Genomic DNA, 20,163 nt, shown 5'->3' on the forward strand with positions numbered 1-20,163 from the left:
GGTGGCGGGCGCCTATAGGCCCAGCTACTCGGGAGGCTGAGGCAGGAGAATGGCGTGAACCCGGGAGGCGGAGCTTGCAGTGAGCTGAGATCCAGTCAATACACTCCAGCCTGAGCGACAGAGCAAGACTCCGTCTCAAAAAAAAAAAAACCCACAGTGAGATACTAGGACACTCACAACAGAATGGCTAAAGTTGAAAGGACTAGCAATACCAAGTTTTGGAGTGGATACAGAGCAACCAGTGCTCTGAAACATTGCTAGTGACAGGGTAAATGGCACAACCACTGTGCACAAACTTTTGGACAGTTTCTCAAGTTAAAAATACATCTATCTGATGACTGAGGAATTCTGCTCCTCAGGTGCAGAAATTAATATACAAGTCTTTTTATGAACATATGTGTCCAGGTTTGCTCATAATGGCCGAAAACTGGAAAGGATGCAACTATCTATCCACAGGACAACGAATAAACAAACTGTGTTGCATTCATACAATGGACCTGCTGACACATGCAGCAATGTGGATCAATGTCAATAACATTAAGTTGAGCAAAGTAAGCCAGACATAAAACAGGTCATGCCGCACTATTCCACTTCAATGAAGTTCAAGAACAGGCAAAACTACCATGACAGAAGTCAAGAGAGTGGTGTCCTCTGGGTGCTGAAGGGCGGGGAAAAGGGACTGGGAACCTTTGTGGGTGAGGACAGTGTTCTATATCTTGATATGAGTGTTGGTCACCAAGCCATACACTTCATATTTGTGTATCGTAAACTATCTCAGTAAAGGACTGTCAGTGGGAAAACATTCTAATAGGAACATTTTCCCCTCCAATCCAAAGTCCAGATACAGTTATTCCTTCTTTCCCTTTGAGAATACAGGACTGTTTTCTACTCCAATAAGGAATCGGGTGTAATGTAGGTGTTCCCTAGTACTGAACCCCAGTTCCCATGGGGCCCAGGTCACATCTGCCCAGGTTACTGCAGAGATTGGCCACCTCTTGGCAAAACAGCAGTGTCTGCTCACACAGTTCTCTCATCCAGTTCTCTCTCTTTCTTGTTAGCTCAGCTATTCATTCATAACTGATATGGTTAGGCTTTGTGTCCCCACCCAAATCTCATCTTGAATTGTAATCTCCACAATCCCCACATGTCAAGGGAGGGACACAGTGGGAGGTGATTGGATCATGGGGGCGGCGTCCCCCATGCTGTTCTCATGATAGTGAGTGAGTTCTCATGAGATTTGATGGTTTTATAAGATCTGACAGTTTCTCCTTCACATACACACTCTCTTTCGCCTGCCGCCATGTAAGAAGTGCCTCTTCTCCTTCCAACACGATTTTAAGTTTCCTGAGGCCTCTCCAGCCATGTGGAATTGTGAGTCAACTAACCTCTTTTCTTTATAAATTACCCAGTCTTGGGCAATTCTTGCAGTGTGAGAACGGACTAATACAATGTCTATGCTGATTACACTGTATCCAGCGCCTTCAGGGGTTTGCAGCAGGGAGGTTTGCAACTTATTATATCTTGGTCACCAGACTGCGGAACCAGAAGTCTACTGTATAATCCTAAAGCTTTAAAAACCAGTAATCAAAACAGGAAACATGGAGCACTTCCAATGTACCAGGTGGTGTTTTAAACATTTTTAGAGGGACTTAATCTTCCCAGCAACTGCAGGTGGTAAGTGCTATGATGATCCCCATGTTACTGTTGAAGGAACTGAAGCTGAAGTTTAGATAACTTGCCCAAGGTCATAAAATGACAGGGCCAAAATCTGGATCTGGGCACGTTGGCTCTGAAGTCTATATTCCTATCTGCTACAATAGATTGCCTATAAAGAAAAACTTTTTTTAATGCACAGAAAAATAATGACTAGACAGAAACATGTTCTGTTGTTAAACATGATTCTCTCTAAAACAGGGAAAATGAAAAGAAGGGCTTTTGCGTTGTAATTTAAAACTTCCAGGCTGGGCATGGTGGCTCACACCTGTAACCCCAGCACTTTGAGAGGCTGAGGCAGGTGGATTGCTTGAGCTCAGGAGTTTGAGACCAGCCTGGCAACACTGCAAAACCCTATCTCTACAAAAAATTATAAAAATTAGCCAGACATGGTGGTGCACACGTGTAGTCCCAGCTACTTGGGAGGCTGAGGCAGGAGGATCACTTCAGCCAGAAGGCAGAGGCTGCTGTAAGCTATGATCATGCCACTGCACTCCAGCCTGGGTGACAGAGCCAGATCCTGTCTCAAAAAAAGAAAAAAGAAAAAAACTTCCACGTTTGTGTTTTCACAATGTACTACTTATGGAATGTTTTAAAATTACATATTGTTTGGTAATATTAGAAGTGGCATATTAGTGCTGTGAAACTACAGATGGTCTTTTGTTATTTTTCCAGTTTTATTTAATGTTAGTTAAATTGAATAATAAAATAATTAAAAACAAATAATAAATAATATGCTAGCAATAGGGGAAAGGCACATTTAAAAAGAATTTGCCTTGTTTTGACAATAGCTTTTATCAAGCTACCTCTTCTAATGGTTTGGTAATAACCATACAGCAGAAATCACAGCTTTTTTGCAATTTAATTGACTTCAATCTTTCTCAAATAAATCTTATAATGGGAGTTTACTGAAGAACTGAAATGCACTGTCCAAAAGCAAACTCAGTGGTCCTTCCCAGGTCTCTGGCCACTTCTGGCCCCGGGAACGTAGAGCGGCTTCTGCATCTCCCTGACTCACCTCGGAGTAGGCTCTGTGGGAGACACCGCCCGATGCATTGTCATGGGCCTTGTGAAATATACCAGGTAACCTAAAGGAGGAGACATCACATGAGCCATCAGTGTCAACAAGCTGGCCGTGGGAAATCCTGAGGCAGGACTGGCCAGTCTTTCTTCTATCTCTGTACACCTGAGGGTAAGACACATTTTCATAAGCTGCAAGACTCCTGACTGCAGTCACCCTTACCAGGAACAAAGGTCAGCGCTCCAGGATCCAGGAGAGAGGATGTATGTGGACTGGGCAGAGTCATCAGCAGGACTCTAAGCCTCCCTACCAGGCGAATGCCCCCTGCTAAGAATCAGGGCTCTGAGTAAAGACTCAAATCCAAGCTCATCAGAATGAAGAAAGTTAAGACCCCCATTCTGGTGCACCCTCTTAGGATAAGTCCACAGACACCGACTGGGCCTCAGACCCTACCACGCTACCATGAAAGTCTCGTTTGAGTTCTCGGGAGTAAAAGCAAACATTTTCTGATGAAGATGTTTATACAGAATCTATGACATTCTTAGCTGCTCCCTCTCGAAATCTAGAATCAAAGAACCAAAGAGACCCACCTGCTCCGCAGAACCTGGCCCCAGAAGTCCTAGGAAAGGGAATGTTGGCGTCCTGGTACGACCCGTAAGCCGTGGTCACCCGCGCAAACGTCGGTAAGGGGGGAGTGACAGAGTTGGGGAGTGCAAACGGGTTGCTGGAAGCGCTGTCTTCCTGGTTCTGAAATTTAAAAATCCACAAGCTAAAAACCACAACCTGTCTTAAAGCTGAACTACAAAATAAAGACCCAGTATGACAAAACCAGAAAACCCATGATTTTAGGGAGAAAGAAATGAAACAAAACACCAAAGCCTAAGTTGGTATGACAGTTTCATGCTTCCCACCACAAAGGACTCAAGGCAGGAGACGAGCTGGCGCAGGCAGGGCTCCAGGCAGCTCTGGCCACGCTTCACTTTCTGCAGGGCTGTGTCCTTCAGGATCTAGAAAAGGCCCAAAACACAGTCAAGAAGAGGAACACATTTCTCTGATAGGTTTTTTTTTTTTTTTTGAGACAAAGTCTCTCTTTGTTGCCCAGGCTGGAGTGTAGTGGTACGATCTCGGCTCATTGCAACCTCTGCCTCCCGTCTTCAAGTGATTCTTGTGCCTCAGCCTCCCGAGTAGCTGGGACTACAGGCGCCCACCCCCATGCCTGGCTAATTTTTGTATTTTTAGTAGAGAAGGGGTTTCACCATGTTGGCCAGGCTGGTCTCGAACTCCTGACCTCAAGTGATCTGCCCATCTCGGCCTCCCAAAGTGCTGGGATTACAGACATGAGCCACTGCGCCCGGCCCTGATTGGCTTTTCTTCTGCAAAGTGGTCAGACACAAGGGTGATGCTGGGAGCCAGGTGCATGGTTAAGTCAAGGCTTCCAACACAGTGTAATAATCTAATTTCTACCTCTACCGAGGTTAAAACAGGATTCACTCCTGAGCCCTCCTAGAGAAGCTCTTTCCTTAATCAAGGCAGCACACGTGGATTTTGAGAGGGCAGCTTTCAGTAACAGAAGGACTATTACTTCTTTCTAGTGAACTCTGCCCTTTTCCTCACCCCCAACACCACTTGCTCCATGAGAAACGTCAGTACCTTAGAAGTAATACTCACTGGCCTGGATTGAAATTGCTCTCAGTGACAAGAGGCATGGATTTCACTTCAGTGAAAATTATAATGTATATTTTTTGTCCTTCAAAAGTATAAATCCTAACACTTTAAACCCATTTATGCCTAATGTTCCATTATTGGAACACTAAGCTTGTGGGAGTTATTTATATCCTACTGCTGAGTCATCGCCAAGGTCTGATTTTTCCTTTGTTTTTTTGAGGAGTGTCGCTCTTACTGCCCAGGCTGGAGTGCAATGGCATGATCTCCGCTCACTGCAGCCTCCGCCTCCCAGGTTCAAGCCATTCTCCTGCCTCAGCAGTCTCTGTTGCCCAGACTGGAGTGCAGCCACGTGATCTTGGCTCACTACAACCCCCACCTCCTGGGTTCAAGTGATTCTCCTGCCTCAGCCTACCGAGTCGCTGGGAATACAGGCATGCGCCACCACGCCTGGCTACTTTTTCTATTTTTAGTAGACATGGGGTTTCACCATGTTGCCCAGGCTGGTCTTGAACTCCTGACCTCAGGTGATCCACCCGCCTCAGCCTCTCAAAGTGCTGGGATTACGGGAGTGAGCCACCGCACCCGGAAAAGGTCTGATTTTTCACACACAAAAGAGTTCGCAACCTAATCGTATCATTTTATACTAACAGAAAAATCTATCTTTTTTGTATGTCCAAACTAGGCAACGGCATATTCAGATTCCAAGTTTAACATGTCAAATACCACAAGATCTGAGTTACTGGCATTTCAGAGATCCTTAAGCCACTTGAAAATTTCCTGGTTCCATGTGATACCCCCAACAAGGTGGAACAATCAAGTGTCCACGACCCAAACTGGACAAAAAATGAGCAACATTCAGCTTGGCCTGAGTTTGTCAGAATACTTCAGTCCCTTCACTTGTGACACTGCTCAGACTGAACGGGTATGAAGAGGCTCATGGGGCTTTGTCATGGAGATTCCACCTGATTTGCTCTGGATGAACTGATGCATTAAATCTCTGAATCTGCAGAATTAAACACAGATGCCAGGCTGTGGTGCCTCCACCTGGACACCTACTGTGCAGCTAGCCAGCCTGTCTCTAGGATAACACCAGCTCCTTCTATGGGATAAAATTTTTTTTATGACCTTACATATGTTTTTTTCTAATTATAAAATATCTTTTAGCTTCAGAATACATCTTGCTTGTTGTTTTCAGGTAAATGAAATTGGACTGCAGGGCTCCTAACCTGGGCTGCTAAATGAAATTGGATTGCAAATCTCCTAACCGGAGATGAATGCATAGTATTAATGAGATCTGTGGGCAGATTCTATGCAATTCACATATTTACAGGCAATATTTCTCAAATCATATGCAATCATTGTGCAGATTTTTCTGAGGAAGGGTCCATAATTTTCATTAGAATTCAAAGGAAGTCTATGACCCAAAAAAGGTTAAGAACCACTGCTCTGATGTTTTCTGCACAAAGTAAATGGCAAGTTCAGAGGTTACGTTGCTAATACTAGTGTGTGTACGAAACAGATGACTTCCGAATCTCATCTACTGGAGTTTTCATTCTTCTTTACTAATCCATCTAGACAATGATGCAGAACAGCAAGGAGAATTTGGGAACCCAGACCCCCACCTTCAGCAGCTTAGCTTTCATGGTGGATGTGATGGTTGTGGGGTTAATAAACTGGAAGGAAGGGGCGGCGTTGTTTGGGTACTGTGCAGGGAACTTCACCAGCATCTTGACACGATGGTTGCTGCAGTGCACAGACACTGTGCAGCTCCTGTCTGCCGCATCCATCTGCAAGAGACAAATCCACAATTGCTGTAGAAACAAACCATAAAGCGTCTTTCGATGCAAGCACATTTAACTGAACGCTCCATGTTCCTGGTAATTGAATGAAGGGAAAGAGTCTACAAAGACAAATGTGTGTGGAAGACAATTCATTTTCAAAAAGATTCTTAAATTTTCATACCAGATTCTTAAAATTTTCAAACCAATGGAATAAGCTCAAAGTTGCTGAGACCAGCTCGGTCGGGGTGACCCTAAACCAGCAGTGCCAGAAGAATTAAAGACACACACACAGAAATATAGAGGTGTGGAGTGGGAAATCAGGGGTCTCACAGCCTTCAGAGCTGAGAGCCTTGAACAAAGATTTACCCATGTATTTATCCACAGCAAGCCAGTGATAAGCATTGTTTCTATAGATTATAGATTAACTAAAAGTATTCCTTATGGGAAACAAAGGGATGGGCTGAAATAAAGGGATGGGCTGTGGCTAGCTATCTGCAGCAGGAGTATGTCTTTAAGGCACAGATTGCTTATGCTATTGTTTGTGGTTTAAGAACGTGTTTAAGCGGTTTTCTGCCCTGGGTGGGCCAGGTGTTCCTTGCCCTCATTCCGGTAAACCCACAGCCTTCCAGCGTGGGCATCACCACCATCATGAACATGTCACAGTGCTGCAGAGACTTTATGGCCAGTTTTGGGGCCAGTTTATGGCTAGATTTTGGGGGGGGGGGGGGCCTGTTCCCAACATGTCCCCCTTCTTTGATTTGCAAAGTGATAAAAGCAAAGGCAGCTTTGTCACGGTGAGCTACTTCTTGCAGGAGTCAAGATCCACATCTGCAGACTACACAAAGACAAACAACACAGAGGGTCAGTTTATGGCCAGATTTCAGGGGGCCTGTTCCCAACACAAAGTATTCTTTTTTTTTTTTTTTGAGACAGGGTCTCACTTTGTCACCCAGGCTGGAGTGCAGTGTGGCACAATCTCAGCTCACTGCAACCTCCACCTTCTGGGTTCAAGTGATTCTCCCACCTCAACCTCCCAAATACTGGGACTACAGGCCACCATGCCCAGCAAATCTTTGTTTTGTTGTTGTTGTTGTTGTTTTGCTTTTTGTGTTTTGGTAGAGATGGGGTTTCGCCATGTTGGCCAGGCTGGTCTCAAACTCCTGACCTCCAGTGATCCACCCACCTTGGCCTCCTAAAGTGCTGGGATTACAGGCATGAGCCACCACGAAGTTCAAAGTATTCTGACTTTAACAAAGCTTCCTCCCTCCCAAAGCTGTGGGGTAGACTGAAACTTGTTATATTTACTTTGAGATGGGAAAATAAAGCAGGAAGAAGTTAAATACCAGACTCAACTTAAAAAGTGCTCCTGGGAAAATCCATAGGGGAAGAAAGTAGATTCGGGATTGCCACGGGCTGAGGGAAGGGGAAATAGGGAGTGACTGCTCATGGGTATGGGGTTTCTTCTGGGAATGATGAATATGTTCTGGAATCAGACAATGGTAATGGCTGTACAACTTTGTGAATATACCCACAACAGCCAGATTATATACTTTAAAAAGCGGAATTTTGGCTGGGCACAGTGGCTCACGCCTGTAATCCCAGCACTTTGGGAGGCCAAGGTGGGCAGATCAACTGACATCAGGAGTTCGAGGCCAACCTGGCCAACATGGCAAAAACCCCATCTCTACTAAAAATACGAAAAAAAATTAGCTGAGCGTGGTGGCGTGCGCCCATAATCCCAGCTATCTGGGAAGCTGAGGCAGGAGAATCGCGTGAACCCGAGAGGCAGAGCCTGCAGTGAGTCACGGTAGCACCACTGCACTCCAGTCTGAGCGGACAGAGCAAGGCTCCATCTCAATAAAAAAAAAAAGATGAACTTTATACTGTGTGAATTATATCTCAATAATTTTTTTAAAGTACTCTCGAAGAAAGGAATCAAGATCTTAAACTAGATCACTAGGTATCCACACTGTCCTCAAATGGGACAAAGGGAGTATAAACTGACTTGATATAGATCACTAATTAAGCAAAGAATCCTTTATATCTTTTCATTTCTTGTGTTGCCAACTAGAGACAGCAGCTGGAGTAAAGAGAAAAGAACCACATGTGGCAAATCTGGAGACCTGGATTCACATGTTGTTTCTTCCACCAAATAGCTGCTGACCTTGGACATTTCTTCTCTTGATGTCTCCGTTTCCTCAGCTGTAAAGTGAGGCTAAAACCACTTACAGCAGACTATTTTTTTTTTTTTTTTCGAGACGGAGTCTTGCTCTGTCGCCAGGCTGGAGTGTAGTGGTGTGATCTCGGCCTCACTGCAAGCTCTGCCTCCTGGGTTCAAGCGATTCTCCTGCCTCAGCCTCGTGAATAGCCGGGACTACAGGCGCACGCCACCATGACCAGCTAATTTTTGTATTTTTAGTATAGACGGGGTTTTACCATGTTGGCCAAGAAGGTGTCGATCTCTTCACCTTGTGATCCGTCTACCTTGGCCTCCCAAAGTGCTGGAATTACAGGCGTGAGCTACCGCACCTGGCCAGCAGACTTGTTTTAAAAGCCACATGAGATAGTTATGTAACAGCACATATTTGGGTAAAGGAAAAACTAATCAAGCTTTAAAACTCCTTTCTGGAGAGATACTCAATTTTCTGAAGCAAAGACTTTCAATACTTGCCCCCAAAAAAGTAACTGTTCCACAGGCTAAGCAAACAAAGAAGTTTTGGTTGCCTTCTTACTGTGAATCTAAATTACCAGGAAATGGCCAGCCTGTGAGAGAAGATGGCACAGCCCAGCACAGCACAGCACAGCACAGCACAGAGTGCCCTGGACGGGCTGGAGGTTTGGCTTCCCAAGTCAACTCTGTCCCCAACTTCAGCAGCAACCTCTGCCAAATCACTAAGCCTCCAGGGCCTAAGTATCTTCCTCTACAGTAAAATGAGATGCTGGAGCATCTAAGGAGGAGCTAAGGCACACGAGCATCAGGTTCTCCTTTGGCTCATCTTAGGAGAAAAGAATAGGGGTAGAAAGAAAGTCTGCATCTCTTTATTTACTTATTTATTTATTTATTTATTTAATTATTTTATTTATTTTTTTTGAGACAGAGTCTTGCTCTGTCACCCAGGCTGGAGGACAGTGGTGCGATCTTGGCTCACTGCAACCTCTGCTTCTCAAGTTCAAGTGATTCCTGTGCCTCAGCCTCTCGAGTAGTTGGAATTACAGGCTAATTTTTTTTTTTTTTTTTAAGTGGAGACAGGGTTTCACCATGTTGGCCAGGCTGGTCTCAAACTCCTGGCTTCCTGGTTTCAAGTGATCTGTCCACCTCAGACTCCCAAAGTGCTGGGATTACAGGCGTGAGCCACCGCGCCTGGCCAGAAAACCCAGGAAATAAAAAAGCAAGCAGAGAGAGTTCTGTTAAAGCTGCAAAGCTATTTGCTAACTGAAATCATTGCTGAAATGGTTCCCTCTCCCACAAACTGCCATCAGCAAACATGAGATACAGTTGATTAAACTAAGTACCTCCACATTGACATTCCGGATTTGCACATTGATCAGGGAGAATTCCTGCTGCAAGGTCTGAGGCAGCCCCAGTTGATCTGATTTCCTCTCTTCCAGGAGATTTCTAGGGGGATCTTCTTTTAGGGCTAGCAGGAGAGAGAAGTTCAATGTTGGAAAGCATTTTTGAAAATGAAACAGAGAACAGGTCTGGGGTATCTGCCACAACTCTGCAATGCGTAGAGTGGCACCTTACCTGAGACATCAGTTTGACAAATTACCTTCTTCCTCCCCATGGCTTGCAGTGTGCTGGTGATCTGTATCTTCAGTGTGCAGGGTCTTCTCAGGTTCCGGCAGAAGGGAAATACTCTCAATGAACTCATCAACACCATCTAATATGTCATTTGCACAAAGCTGCAACAAAGGGTAGAAGATGTAGTTCTAGAGAAGTCCGTGGAAATGATTGTCATGTCTGATTAAAGAGTTCTGACTTAAAAATGGGAAGGGCAAAGGATGGGGATGTGTCAGCCAAGAGCTGACATAATCAAAATAGATTTTACCCATTGCCAACTCTCCCTGGTTAAACACCAGGGATAACAGACTCTATTATTCAACACTGGAAATTTTTTCATCATGTTCAGAGTTTATGCAAGCCTCAGAAAAAAAATTAATTTAAACTCCAAGCTTTGATGGAGTTATTCAGCTAATCCAGGAGCAAAAATATCATAACCGGCCAGGCGTAGTGGCTCATGCCTGTAATCCCAGCACTTTGGGAGGCCGAGGCAGGTGGATCACCTGAGGTTAGGAGTTTGAGACCAGCCTGGCCAAGAGGGTGAAATGCCGTCTCTACTAAAAATACAAAAACTAGCCAGGCATGGTGGCGGACGCCTACAGTCCCAGCTACTCGGGAGGCTGAGGCAGGAGAATCACTTGAACCCAGGAGGCAGAGGTTGCAGTGAGCAAAGATCACGTGGCTGCACTCCAGCCTGGGCAACAGAGAGAGACTCCATCTCAAAAAAAAAAAAACGAAAACCATAACCTCAAGGCATTTGGTGCAAATTGTACCTTTTGGAAAAAACAGATTGAAAATGCAATAAGGTAATGAGATTTGATCAAACTGCTCAAGAGTGACTTCATACTAAGCAGTGTTGAAATTTTTATCCAGTATTTTCTATTCATTCTGTGCAAAGCAATGTACCAAGCGCTGTGGGAGATCCAATACAAGTGAGACACCTTCCCACTGTCAAGAAATTTAGCCATCAAATGAGGAGAGGACAGAACCCTGTGATAAGGCAGAGCAGAGCAAGGGCCACCAAAGCAGCTCATGCCAGGTACTACTGTGTGTGGTTCATGTAAGAAACAGATATCATTTATCGGGAAAAAATTACAAACAGCTTCATAAAAGCAGTGTTGCTGATAGATGTAGAAGCCTCCAAGCATTTGCAGCGTACAAGGGTAGGCTTCTTAGCCCATTTAGAAGAGAAAGAAATGAACCCACAGGGCACATACTCAGGGAGCTACCCATACTATCTTATGCTAGAATAAGGAGGGGAAAGACATTTAGAGGCTCTCTGGCCTTAAAGTGCTGAATACTGAAGTTGGTTCTTAAAGACCTCAAAGCCTTGGTGTGGTACACACCAGCTACTCAGCCAACCAGTAAGTATGTATTAAATGTCTATCCTGCCGGGGAAGGTGGCTCACACCAGTGATCCCAGCACTGTGGGAGGCTGAGGCAGGTGGATCACTTGAGGTCAGGAGTTGAAGACTAGCCTGGCCAACTTGGTGAAACCCCGTCTCTACTAAAAATACAAAAATTAGCCGAGTGTGTTGGTGGGCGCCTATAATCCCAGCTACTCAGGAGGCTGACGCAGGAGAATCGCTTGAACCCGGGAGGCAGAGGTTGCAGTGAGCCAAGATCGTGCCACTGCACTCCAGCCTGGGCGATTCAGTGAGACGCACTCTCAAAAAAAAAAAAAAAAAAAAAAAATTGTTTATCCTGTAACCTCTAATTTCCGCAAATCCTGAATCTTACACTTTTTGGTGGATTCAGGTACATTTCTCCACAATAGCACTGCATACATACCCTCTGCATCTGGGAATCCACCCGCCACATTCTCAAGGTCTGATCCCGGGACCACGTCACCAGTTGATAGTCCTTGGACCCTAGAAATCACCAAATAAGAATCCTGGAAATTCTTCTGGATTCAACGTCTATTTGCTAGAGGTTGAAATGGAGTGAGATTCATCCATCCATTCAACAAACATCTACTGAACATTTCTCATATGCCAGGCACTATTCTAGGTACCAGGACTACAGCATGAATAAAATAATTTCTATCTTTATAGATCTCGCATTCCAGTGGTAGAAAGAGACAAATATCTGATAAAACATCTGGTATAAAGAATAACACAGGATAAGAGGACAGAGACTGATGGTGGAACTATTTTTAGATAGAACTCCCCAAGGAAATCACATTTGAGCAGAAACTTAAATGATGTGAAATACTAACTGGCAAATTAGCAGGTAAAGAGCGATGCTGGGATTTAATGTCACACTAAACTTTCACCTCTGCAAATGTTCGTCCTTTTACATGCTCTCGAAGAGCTGGAGATGAACATATTTTTGCAAAACGGGTTATTTCAAATGCATCATGGCATCTTACCATTCAAAAGAATTTTTTGGTAAAGTGATGTATCTCTTTGTAAAATGAATAATCAATCCTTAATGTACTTAATTGACTGAATCATATTTTCATCTTAACTCTGGTCAAAGGGAAATTATCCTGAAAAGGTTCAGGGTGCTTTATGAAATAACTTCATGAAAGATCAGGACATTTGCGGATAATTATGCAGTATCTAGAATCTCCTTCATGGCCACCTTCAGAGAGCAAAGATTTTAGAAATAATTTCATCCAATTTCTTAATTTTATGGATGGGGAAACTGAGGCAAGAGAATATGATCTGTCCAAGGTCACAGGGTGAGTGGGCAGGAAAACAAGGGCCAGTTCTTATTGGTTCCTTCTCTGCATCACCACCTTCAACCAAAAATTCACTCTTCAATATTTCATACATCACTAGGCACAGCCAGCCAGACAGCAACTATTCTGAACCACGGCTTGTTACAAGTGCCACCATCTTGCCTCATGTCCACATCAACAATCTTCTGACCCTACATCTGGCTTCTCTTCCTGCCCCTGACTTTGACGAAAAGGTATGCCTAATTCCTTTCTAAATGTTATAAATTAACTCAACCCCTCGACCTGTGCCTCCCCCGCTGGTCCCAAGGGGCCCTTTGCTTCCCCGACTCCCTTGTATCTTCTCCCTGCCTTCCAACAGAGAGGGCAGCAGCCTCTCCCAACTGGCTGATTCTACGCCTTGCCTTTGAGGGTTACTTCATTCACTAAAACCGGTTCCTGCTGCCCCTGTTCATGCCACCCTATGATCTGGCTTCTCTCCTCAATTTGCTCTTGGAACACCTTTTTTTTTTTAATTTTTTGTATTTTGAGATAGGGTCTCACTTTGTCACTCAAGCTGGAGTGCAGTGATGCAATCTGAGCTCACTGCAACAACCTGCACCTCCTGGTTCAGGAAATTCTCCTGCCTCAGCCTCCAGGGTGGCTGAGATTACAGGCACGTGCCACCACACCTGGCTAATTTTTTTTTTTTTAATATATTTTGGTAGAGATGGGGTTTCATCATGTTGGCCAGGCTGGTCTCAAACTCCTGGCCTCAAGTGATCAACCTGCCTTGGCCTCCCAAAGTGCTGGGATTACAGGCGTGAGCCACCGCACCTGGCCTGGAACTCCTTTCTTAATGATTATATGGCTTCCTATTTGGTCAGTTAAATGCTTTTCTCTTACTCTACATTTTGATCTATCAGCAACACCTGAAACCAAGGACTACTGCTTCCCTCAGGAGGCATCCTTGTCCCCTGGCCACAATATCCTGACTCACTTCCTACCTCTTTGAGAAATCCTTCCCCACAGTGAAAATCAAAGCATGAAGTGGTCCAATAAAAATTGATGACTACCAGCCTGGGCAACATGGTGAAACTCATCTCTACAAAAATACAAAAAATTAGCTGGCATGGTGGCACACTCCTGTAGTGCCAGCTACTCAGGTGGCTGAGGTGGAAGCACTGCTCGAGCCCAGGAGGTCGAGGCTGCAGTGAGCCATGCTCGTGCCTGCACGCTAGCCTGGGTGACAGAGCGAGACCCTATCTCAAAAAAAAAAAAAAAAAAAATTGATGTCGAAGACATGGCAGTAAAAGTAAACTGGAACAACCTTCAGCTGAGAAAGAAGTAAAATACAGATGGTTCCCAATTTACAATGGTTCAACTTACAATTTTTTGACTTTATGATGGCGTGAAACTGTCACAATTTTAACATAATGCACAGTATTCAATAAAGTATATGAGATATTCAACACTTTTTTTTATAAAATAGGCTTTGTATTAGAGGATTTAGCCCAAATGTAGGCCGATGGAAGTGTTCTGAGCATGTTTAAGGTAGGCTACTTAAGCTATGATGTTCAGTGGGTTAGGTGGGTTAAATATATATATATATTTTTTCTTTTGAGACTGTCTCGATCTGTCTCCAGGCTGGAGTGCAGTGGCACAATCTCAGCTCACTGAAACCTCTGCCTCCTGGGTTCAAGAGATTCTCCTGCCTCAGCCTCCGAAGTAGCTGGGACTACAGGCATGCACTGCCACACCTGGCTCATTTTTGTATTTTCAGCAGAGATGGGGTTTTGCCATGTTGGCCAGAACTCCTGGCCTCAAGTGATCCGCCCACCTCAGCCTCCCAAAGTACTGAGATTACAGGTGTAAGCCACTGTGCCTGGCCTAAAATACATTTTCTACTTATGATATTTTCAACTTACAATGGGTTTATCGGGACATAACCCCATCATAAGGAACACCTGCATAAAAACACATGCATAATAATTAAATTTGCAAAAGGTTCAGAAACAGGCAAACCTAAACTACTTTTAGGGATTCAAAAATAGGCAGTGAAACCACAAAGGAAAAATCCAGCAATGGCTATCGTAAGCATTAGAGGAGTCACTACTCTCAGGGAAGGGAGGGGATGGTGACCAGGTAGCTTCGGGGCTCTTGGCATCGTTTTCTTTCTTGACCTGCATGGCAATTACATAGATTTTCACTTTATAATTATTTGTTACACTATACATGTTCCATATAATTTTCAAATACATGATATATTTCACAGTAAAAAAAAATTTTTTTTTATTTAAACTTTCATTTTAGCTTCAGGGGTTCATGTGCAGGTTTGTTACAAAGGCAAACTCCTGTCATGGGGGTTTGTTGTACAGATTATTTCATCACCCAGGTACTAAGCCTAGTACCCAATGGTTATTTTTTTCTGATCCTCTCCCCCTCCCACCCTCCGTCCTCAAGTAGGCCCCAGTCTTTATTATTCCCCTCTTCCACAGTTAAAACAAAAAAAAAGTTAAATAGTAACTCGTACTCAAAATTTTGCTACTGGCCAGGCAGTTCCAATTTACACAACTCACCCACCAGCTTAAAGACAACATGGGTAACTAACAATGGGTTCCTAAAAACTTTATTTCCATCCAAAACTACCGGTCAACCCCTCCCCACTGGACTGAGGAAATCACATCATCTGTTTTCTTTTTTTTTTTCTTTTTTGAGACAGAGCACTACATGCTTGTGAAGACAACTGAGGGTATGTAGTAGGCAGTACTAAAGACCACCTTGGGTCTCCCTCATCAACAGAGTGGCAAGGGGCAAATGCCCTGGACTTCTGAGCCCAGAGTCTTTCAGTCCCAGAAACAATCCAACAGCAAATCTCTATCTTCCGTCTCTTACTGGAGCATATCTCTTCCAAGCAAGAGAGACTACGCTGACAATTGTGGAAGAGGACAGAATTTGGAAGAGTAACAGCAGCCTTATATAGTCCCTTTACTCACCTATGACGAAAGGTGGCAACAGCCCTGGCTCTCTGGTTCCTAAAGCCCAGCTCTCTCTATGTCTTCTTTACTGGACTCCATGGCAACACTGACTGGCACCGCTGTCACCAGAGCTCAGAAGGAAAGTGGGCAGCAGGCCTCTCCCACTCACCTTCCTTCTGCTTCCTCCACTGGAACTCCAGGACCACATCATCATGCCCCACGAAGGTGTGGACTGGGGTGTTCAAGTCAAAGACATTCCACAGGAGAAGGCTGTTTTCCCTCCGCAGCTGGGGAACCATCACAGTCACCAATCCATTGCTGAAAGGCTAAGGCAGGGAAGGGAAAAGCAGGTGATTAGATTATTTCAGGGAGAATCAGCTGAGTCTTGAGTTTCCAAACCTGGAATTCTTCCTAAGTAAAATAAATTAGATAATGGAAGGCCCCAACTCATCTGGAGAAATTTTTCCCAAACACCATAGGCTGCACATCGCGTCTACTTTTCTCTTTGCTTATGGAAGGGACCAAAGCAAGTGAAAACTCAGGCTGAGGCAAGCGCTTGAAGAACTTTGAAAATTCTAAAATAAGCAAATGGTACTGATTGCTATGCAATGAAACACACTGTTTCACATCCTAGCTACTCTCCATGAGTTACCACTCAAGAGATACTGAGTGCTTTCCCAGAATGAGCATGCAGGGCTGACAGGGAAAATCCCTGGAGCAGCAGACCTAATTCTTGCCACGTGGAAATGCACCAGAAAAACGCCATCCACATGAAGCATCACCTTCCCGCCCCCCCGGCACTGCAACTGCTCAAAGGAAAACTTGCTCGCTTCAGGACTGACATGTTTTACTTGGCAAAACCCAAACTACTGGGTAGCTAAGGGTTCCATTCAGTTGATAATTAGACTCTGTTATTTAAGGAATAAACCACAGTCACCAAAGAGCACATTTATCTTCACCGCCCCTCCTGGTAGCACTCTTGGACTTTTCTGTTTATTTTTTAAAGCAAACATATTAATCCAGAAAAGTATTTCAGTTCCTAAGAAGAGTGTCTGATTTCTTGGCAAGCGATCCCAGGTACAAAACCAACTTAATACCCAAATTACCTTTTTTGCTCCACAATGCTCCATGGTGACAGCCCAATGTATAAAGGTAGCTTTATCCATCCCTGTGCTAGCTTTCAGATTGACATTAAAGGAAATACATTATCTCTCACCCGTGTGGCAATGGAAAATTACTAGAAGGTTGATAACAGCCTACCCACTCTATTTGTAGCATTTAATGGTTTAGAAAGCACATTCATATAAGTTATTTCAAAAGAAAGTCAGCTTGTGAACTACAGAATTGTATACTTTGGTGGATTTTATCACAATTTTAAAAAAAGGAGGGCATAGTAAAAATTACTATTCATATTCTACAGTAAAGGAAATTTCTGCTCAAAAACATCAAATGGCTTGCCCAAGGCCATACCAGTATTAAATGATAGAGCATGGCCCCCAGCCCAGGTCTTCTGAATTTAAAGCCAGAGTTCCTTCCACCACAATTCACAGACCTCAAGCCTCCTGACCCTCTCCTCCATCTACCCTGCTGCCGGCCCTACCATTAGTGAGTATCTTTACATGGCCTAGCTTCTCTGTGGAGCTTTGATCAGCAATTCTGATGTAGATACTTACCCAACACTCCAGGAATAAATTTATTTTATTTTTTTATTTTTTTTGGAGATGGAGTCTCGCTCTGTCACCCAGGCTGGAGTGCAGTGGGGCGATCTCAGCTTACTGCAAGCTCTGCCTCCCGGGTTCAAGCGATTCTCCTGCCTCAGCCTCCCAAGTAGCTGGGACTACAGGCATATGCCACCACACCTGGCTAATTTTTGTATTTTTAGTAGAGACGGGGTTTCACCATGGCCAGGATGGTCTCGAACTCCTGACCTCAGGGGATCCAGGTGTGAGCCACTGCGCCCGGCCAAGAATAAAATTTTAAGTAGTTAACAGCATTTAAGCTATCATTATCACGTTTGTCCCACCACTAAACCAACAGAGAAAGAGAAAATCACCTCACAAAGAAAATAAGAGAAAATGTCCCCGGGCTCCTTCTTTTTGGAACACCCAAAAAGAAGTTTCTTATCAAGAGGCAGGGTGGCTCACTCACTGTGTATCTGGCCTTCCAGACAGGCACCTGGCAAGGAAGAATATTGAGGTATTTCCGAGGCTGGCGGTAATCCCAGAACTAGAAGAGAGCAAGCAAGATCATTTGTGAAATAAATGCCATTAAAAAATTCTACTGAAATAAGCACAGCCTTTGAACTCATTGCTTCTGGTCCTCTAAAGATACACTTCAACAACATATTTTTAGTTCAGCTCCTATAACCACGCACTGTGACAGAGACACAAAGAAACCTCCCTTTCTATTTCTAAAACATTACAGGAGAATTTCTGGACTTTATGAGGACCACTAAACGCGGCAGGTCACTGTCAACAGGTTTGATTACGAAATGACCTTTAGAGCTGAAAATTCAGAGTGACGTGTTTGATTTTGTATCACGTTTACATCTTGCAGGTAATTTAAGAACAAGAGCTGAAGTGTCCTGACTACTCATTACATTTCAGACATATATTTAGAACTTTTTTTTCCCATTTAATCTTTGTAACAACCATATATGTTATTAATCTCTTTTTCAAATGTAGAGGCTATATAAAGAAACGACATAATGTGCAAGGTCACAAAGAAAAAAGGCAGCTGTGTGAAAACCTAGGAGCCAATCCATTCAAGTCCACACCTGCTGTCATCCTCCAACATCTGAGGTGCAGTTCTTGAAATTGTAGAGCACACAAAGTGAGCCACACAAACTACCTTAGAGACACCTATGCTTCTAACGTGAGAGACACATACGCTTAGAACTCCAGCATTTGTCACAAAGGCAGGAAAGCCAAGAGTGAAACTCGGAACTGCTTAAGTTTAGGAAATTTTTTCAAAAATAGATGACAGCAATCACTCTGGAAATCGCTATGGCAATTTCTTTTTTTAATAGAGATGGGATCTTGCCATGTTGCCCGGGCTGGTCTCGAACTCCTGAGCTCAGGCAATCCTCCCACCTCGGCCTCCCAAAGTGCTGGGATTACAGGTATGAACTACCACTCCCGGCCACTTTGGCAATTTCCTATAAAGTTAAAAGTACACATACCATATGACCCAGCAATACCACTCCTACATAACTGCCCTAGGAAATTGAAAGTATCTGTTCACACAAAAACCCATATATGAATGTTTATAGTGGCTCTATTCACAATCACCAAAAACCAAAAATGGTCCAAATGTCCTTAAATGAGTCAACAGAAAATTAATGGTGGCATATACATAAGTGGAATACTACTCAGTACTAAAAAGTCTATGCATTATTAATTTTTAAAACAACTTAGATGACTCTTAAAGGCATTACGTTGAATGAAAAAAAGACAACCTTAAAAGGTTATATACTAGTCCGGGTGTGGTAGCTCATGCCTGTAATCCCAGCACTTTGGGAGGCCAAGGCAGGCAGGCAGGCAGATCACTTGAGGTCAGGAGTTCAAGACCAGCCTGGCCAACATGGCGAAACCCCATCTCTACCAAAAATACAAAAATTAGCTGGGCATGGTGGCACACACTTGTAGTCCCAGCTACTCAGGAGGCTGAGGCACAAGAATTGCTTGAACCCGGGAGGCAGAGGTTGTAGTGAGCCAAGATGGCAACACTGCACTCCAGCCTGGGCAACAGAACAAGACTCCATCTCAAAAAAAAAAAAAAAAAGCATTCTCAGAAAGACCAAATTATAGTGATGGGGAACAGACAAGTGGTTGCCAGAGGTTAGGGGTAGGAAAGGGTATGAGTGCAAAGGAATAACACGAGGTAGCTCTTCAGTGTCATGGAACTGTTTGATACCCTGTGTGGGCAGTTATATGCAACTCTGCATATGTTATATTTCACAGGTTTTCAATGCTCGTACAGTGGCTCATGCCTATAATCTCAGTGCTTTGGGAGGCTAAGGTAGGTGGATCACTTGAGGCCAGGAGTTCCAGATCAGCCTGGGCAACAAAGCAAGACCCTGTCTCCTCACCTAGCTGATTGGGAGGCTGAAGTGGGAGGAATGATTGAGTCAAGGGGTTCAAGGTTACAGTGAGCTATGATCATACCACTGCACTCCAGTGTGGGCAACAGAGCACGATCCTGTCTCAAAAAAAAATGTTTTTAATAAAAAAAAAAAAAAGTATATCAGACTATATGGAAAACAGTGAAAAAGTCTAATAAATTTTTTTTTTTTTTTTTGAGAGGGAATTTTGCTCTTGTTGCCCAGGCTGGAGAACAATGGTGTGATCTCGGCTCACTGCAACCTCCGCCTCCCAGGTTCAAGCGATTCTCCTGCCTCAGCCTCCCACGTAGCTGGGATTACAGGCACGCACCACCACGCCTGGCTAATTTTTTGTATTTTTAGTAGAGACGGGGTTTCACCATGGCCAGGCTGGTCTCGAACTCCTGACCTCAGGTGATCTGCCCACCTCGGCCTCCCAGAGTGCTGGGATTATAGGCAT

The 20,163-nt window shown here is 44.1% G+C and overlaps 1 protein-coding gene across 14 annotated transcripts in view; it reads right to left on the minus strand.

The window, feature by feature from the left end:
- Positions 1–20,163, minus strand: part of WDR59 (WD repeat domain 59) — a 113,762-nt gene that overhangs the window by 34,815 nt on the left and 58,784 nt on the right. For 6 of the 14 annotated variants that reach the window (XR_007064915.1, XM_047434642.1, XM_047434640.1 and 3 more), the window contains 9 exons: positions 17,750–17,827; positions 15,771–15,927; positions 11,753–11,832; positions 9,951–10,083; positions 9,694–9,818; positions 6,022–6,186; positions 3,646–3,741; positions 3,325–3,481; positions 2,732–2,801 (listed from right to left, as the gene is read on the minus strand). Coding sequence is in view for 13 of the 14 variants with exons in the window: in NM_030581.4 (NP_085058.3) it covers positions 2,732–2,801; positions 3,325–3,481; positions 3,646–3,741; positions 6,022–6,186; positions 9,694–9,818; positions 9,951–10,083; positions 11,753–11,832; positions 15,771–15,927; positions 17,750–17,827 (1,061 nt within the window). In the remaining variant the exon portion in view is untranslated. Of the gene's footprint in view, positions 1–2,556; positions 2,802–3,324; positions 3,482–3,645; positions 3,742–5,940; positions 6,187–9,693; positions 9,819–9,925; positions 10,084–11,752; positions 11,833–15,770; positions 15,928–17,749; positions 17,828–20,163 lie in introns of those variants that run through there. The other 8 variants (XM_047434639.1, XM_047434638.1, XM_047434646.1 and 5 more) reach the window with 6 other exon arrangements.

Source organism: Homo sapiens, chromosome 16 (genome assembly GCF_000001405.40).
Source record: "Homo sapiens chromosome 16, GRCh38.p14 Primary Assembly".
Classification (NCBI taxonomy): Eukaryota; Metazoa; Chordata; class Mammalia; order Primates; family Hominidae; genus Homo; species Homo sapiens.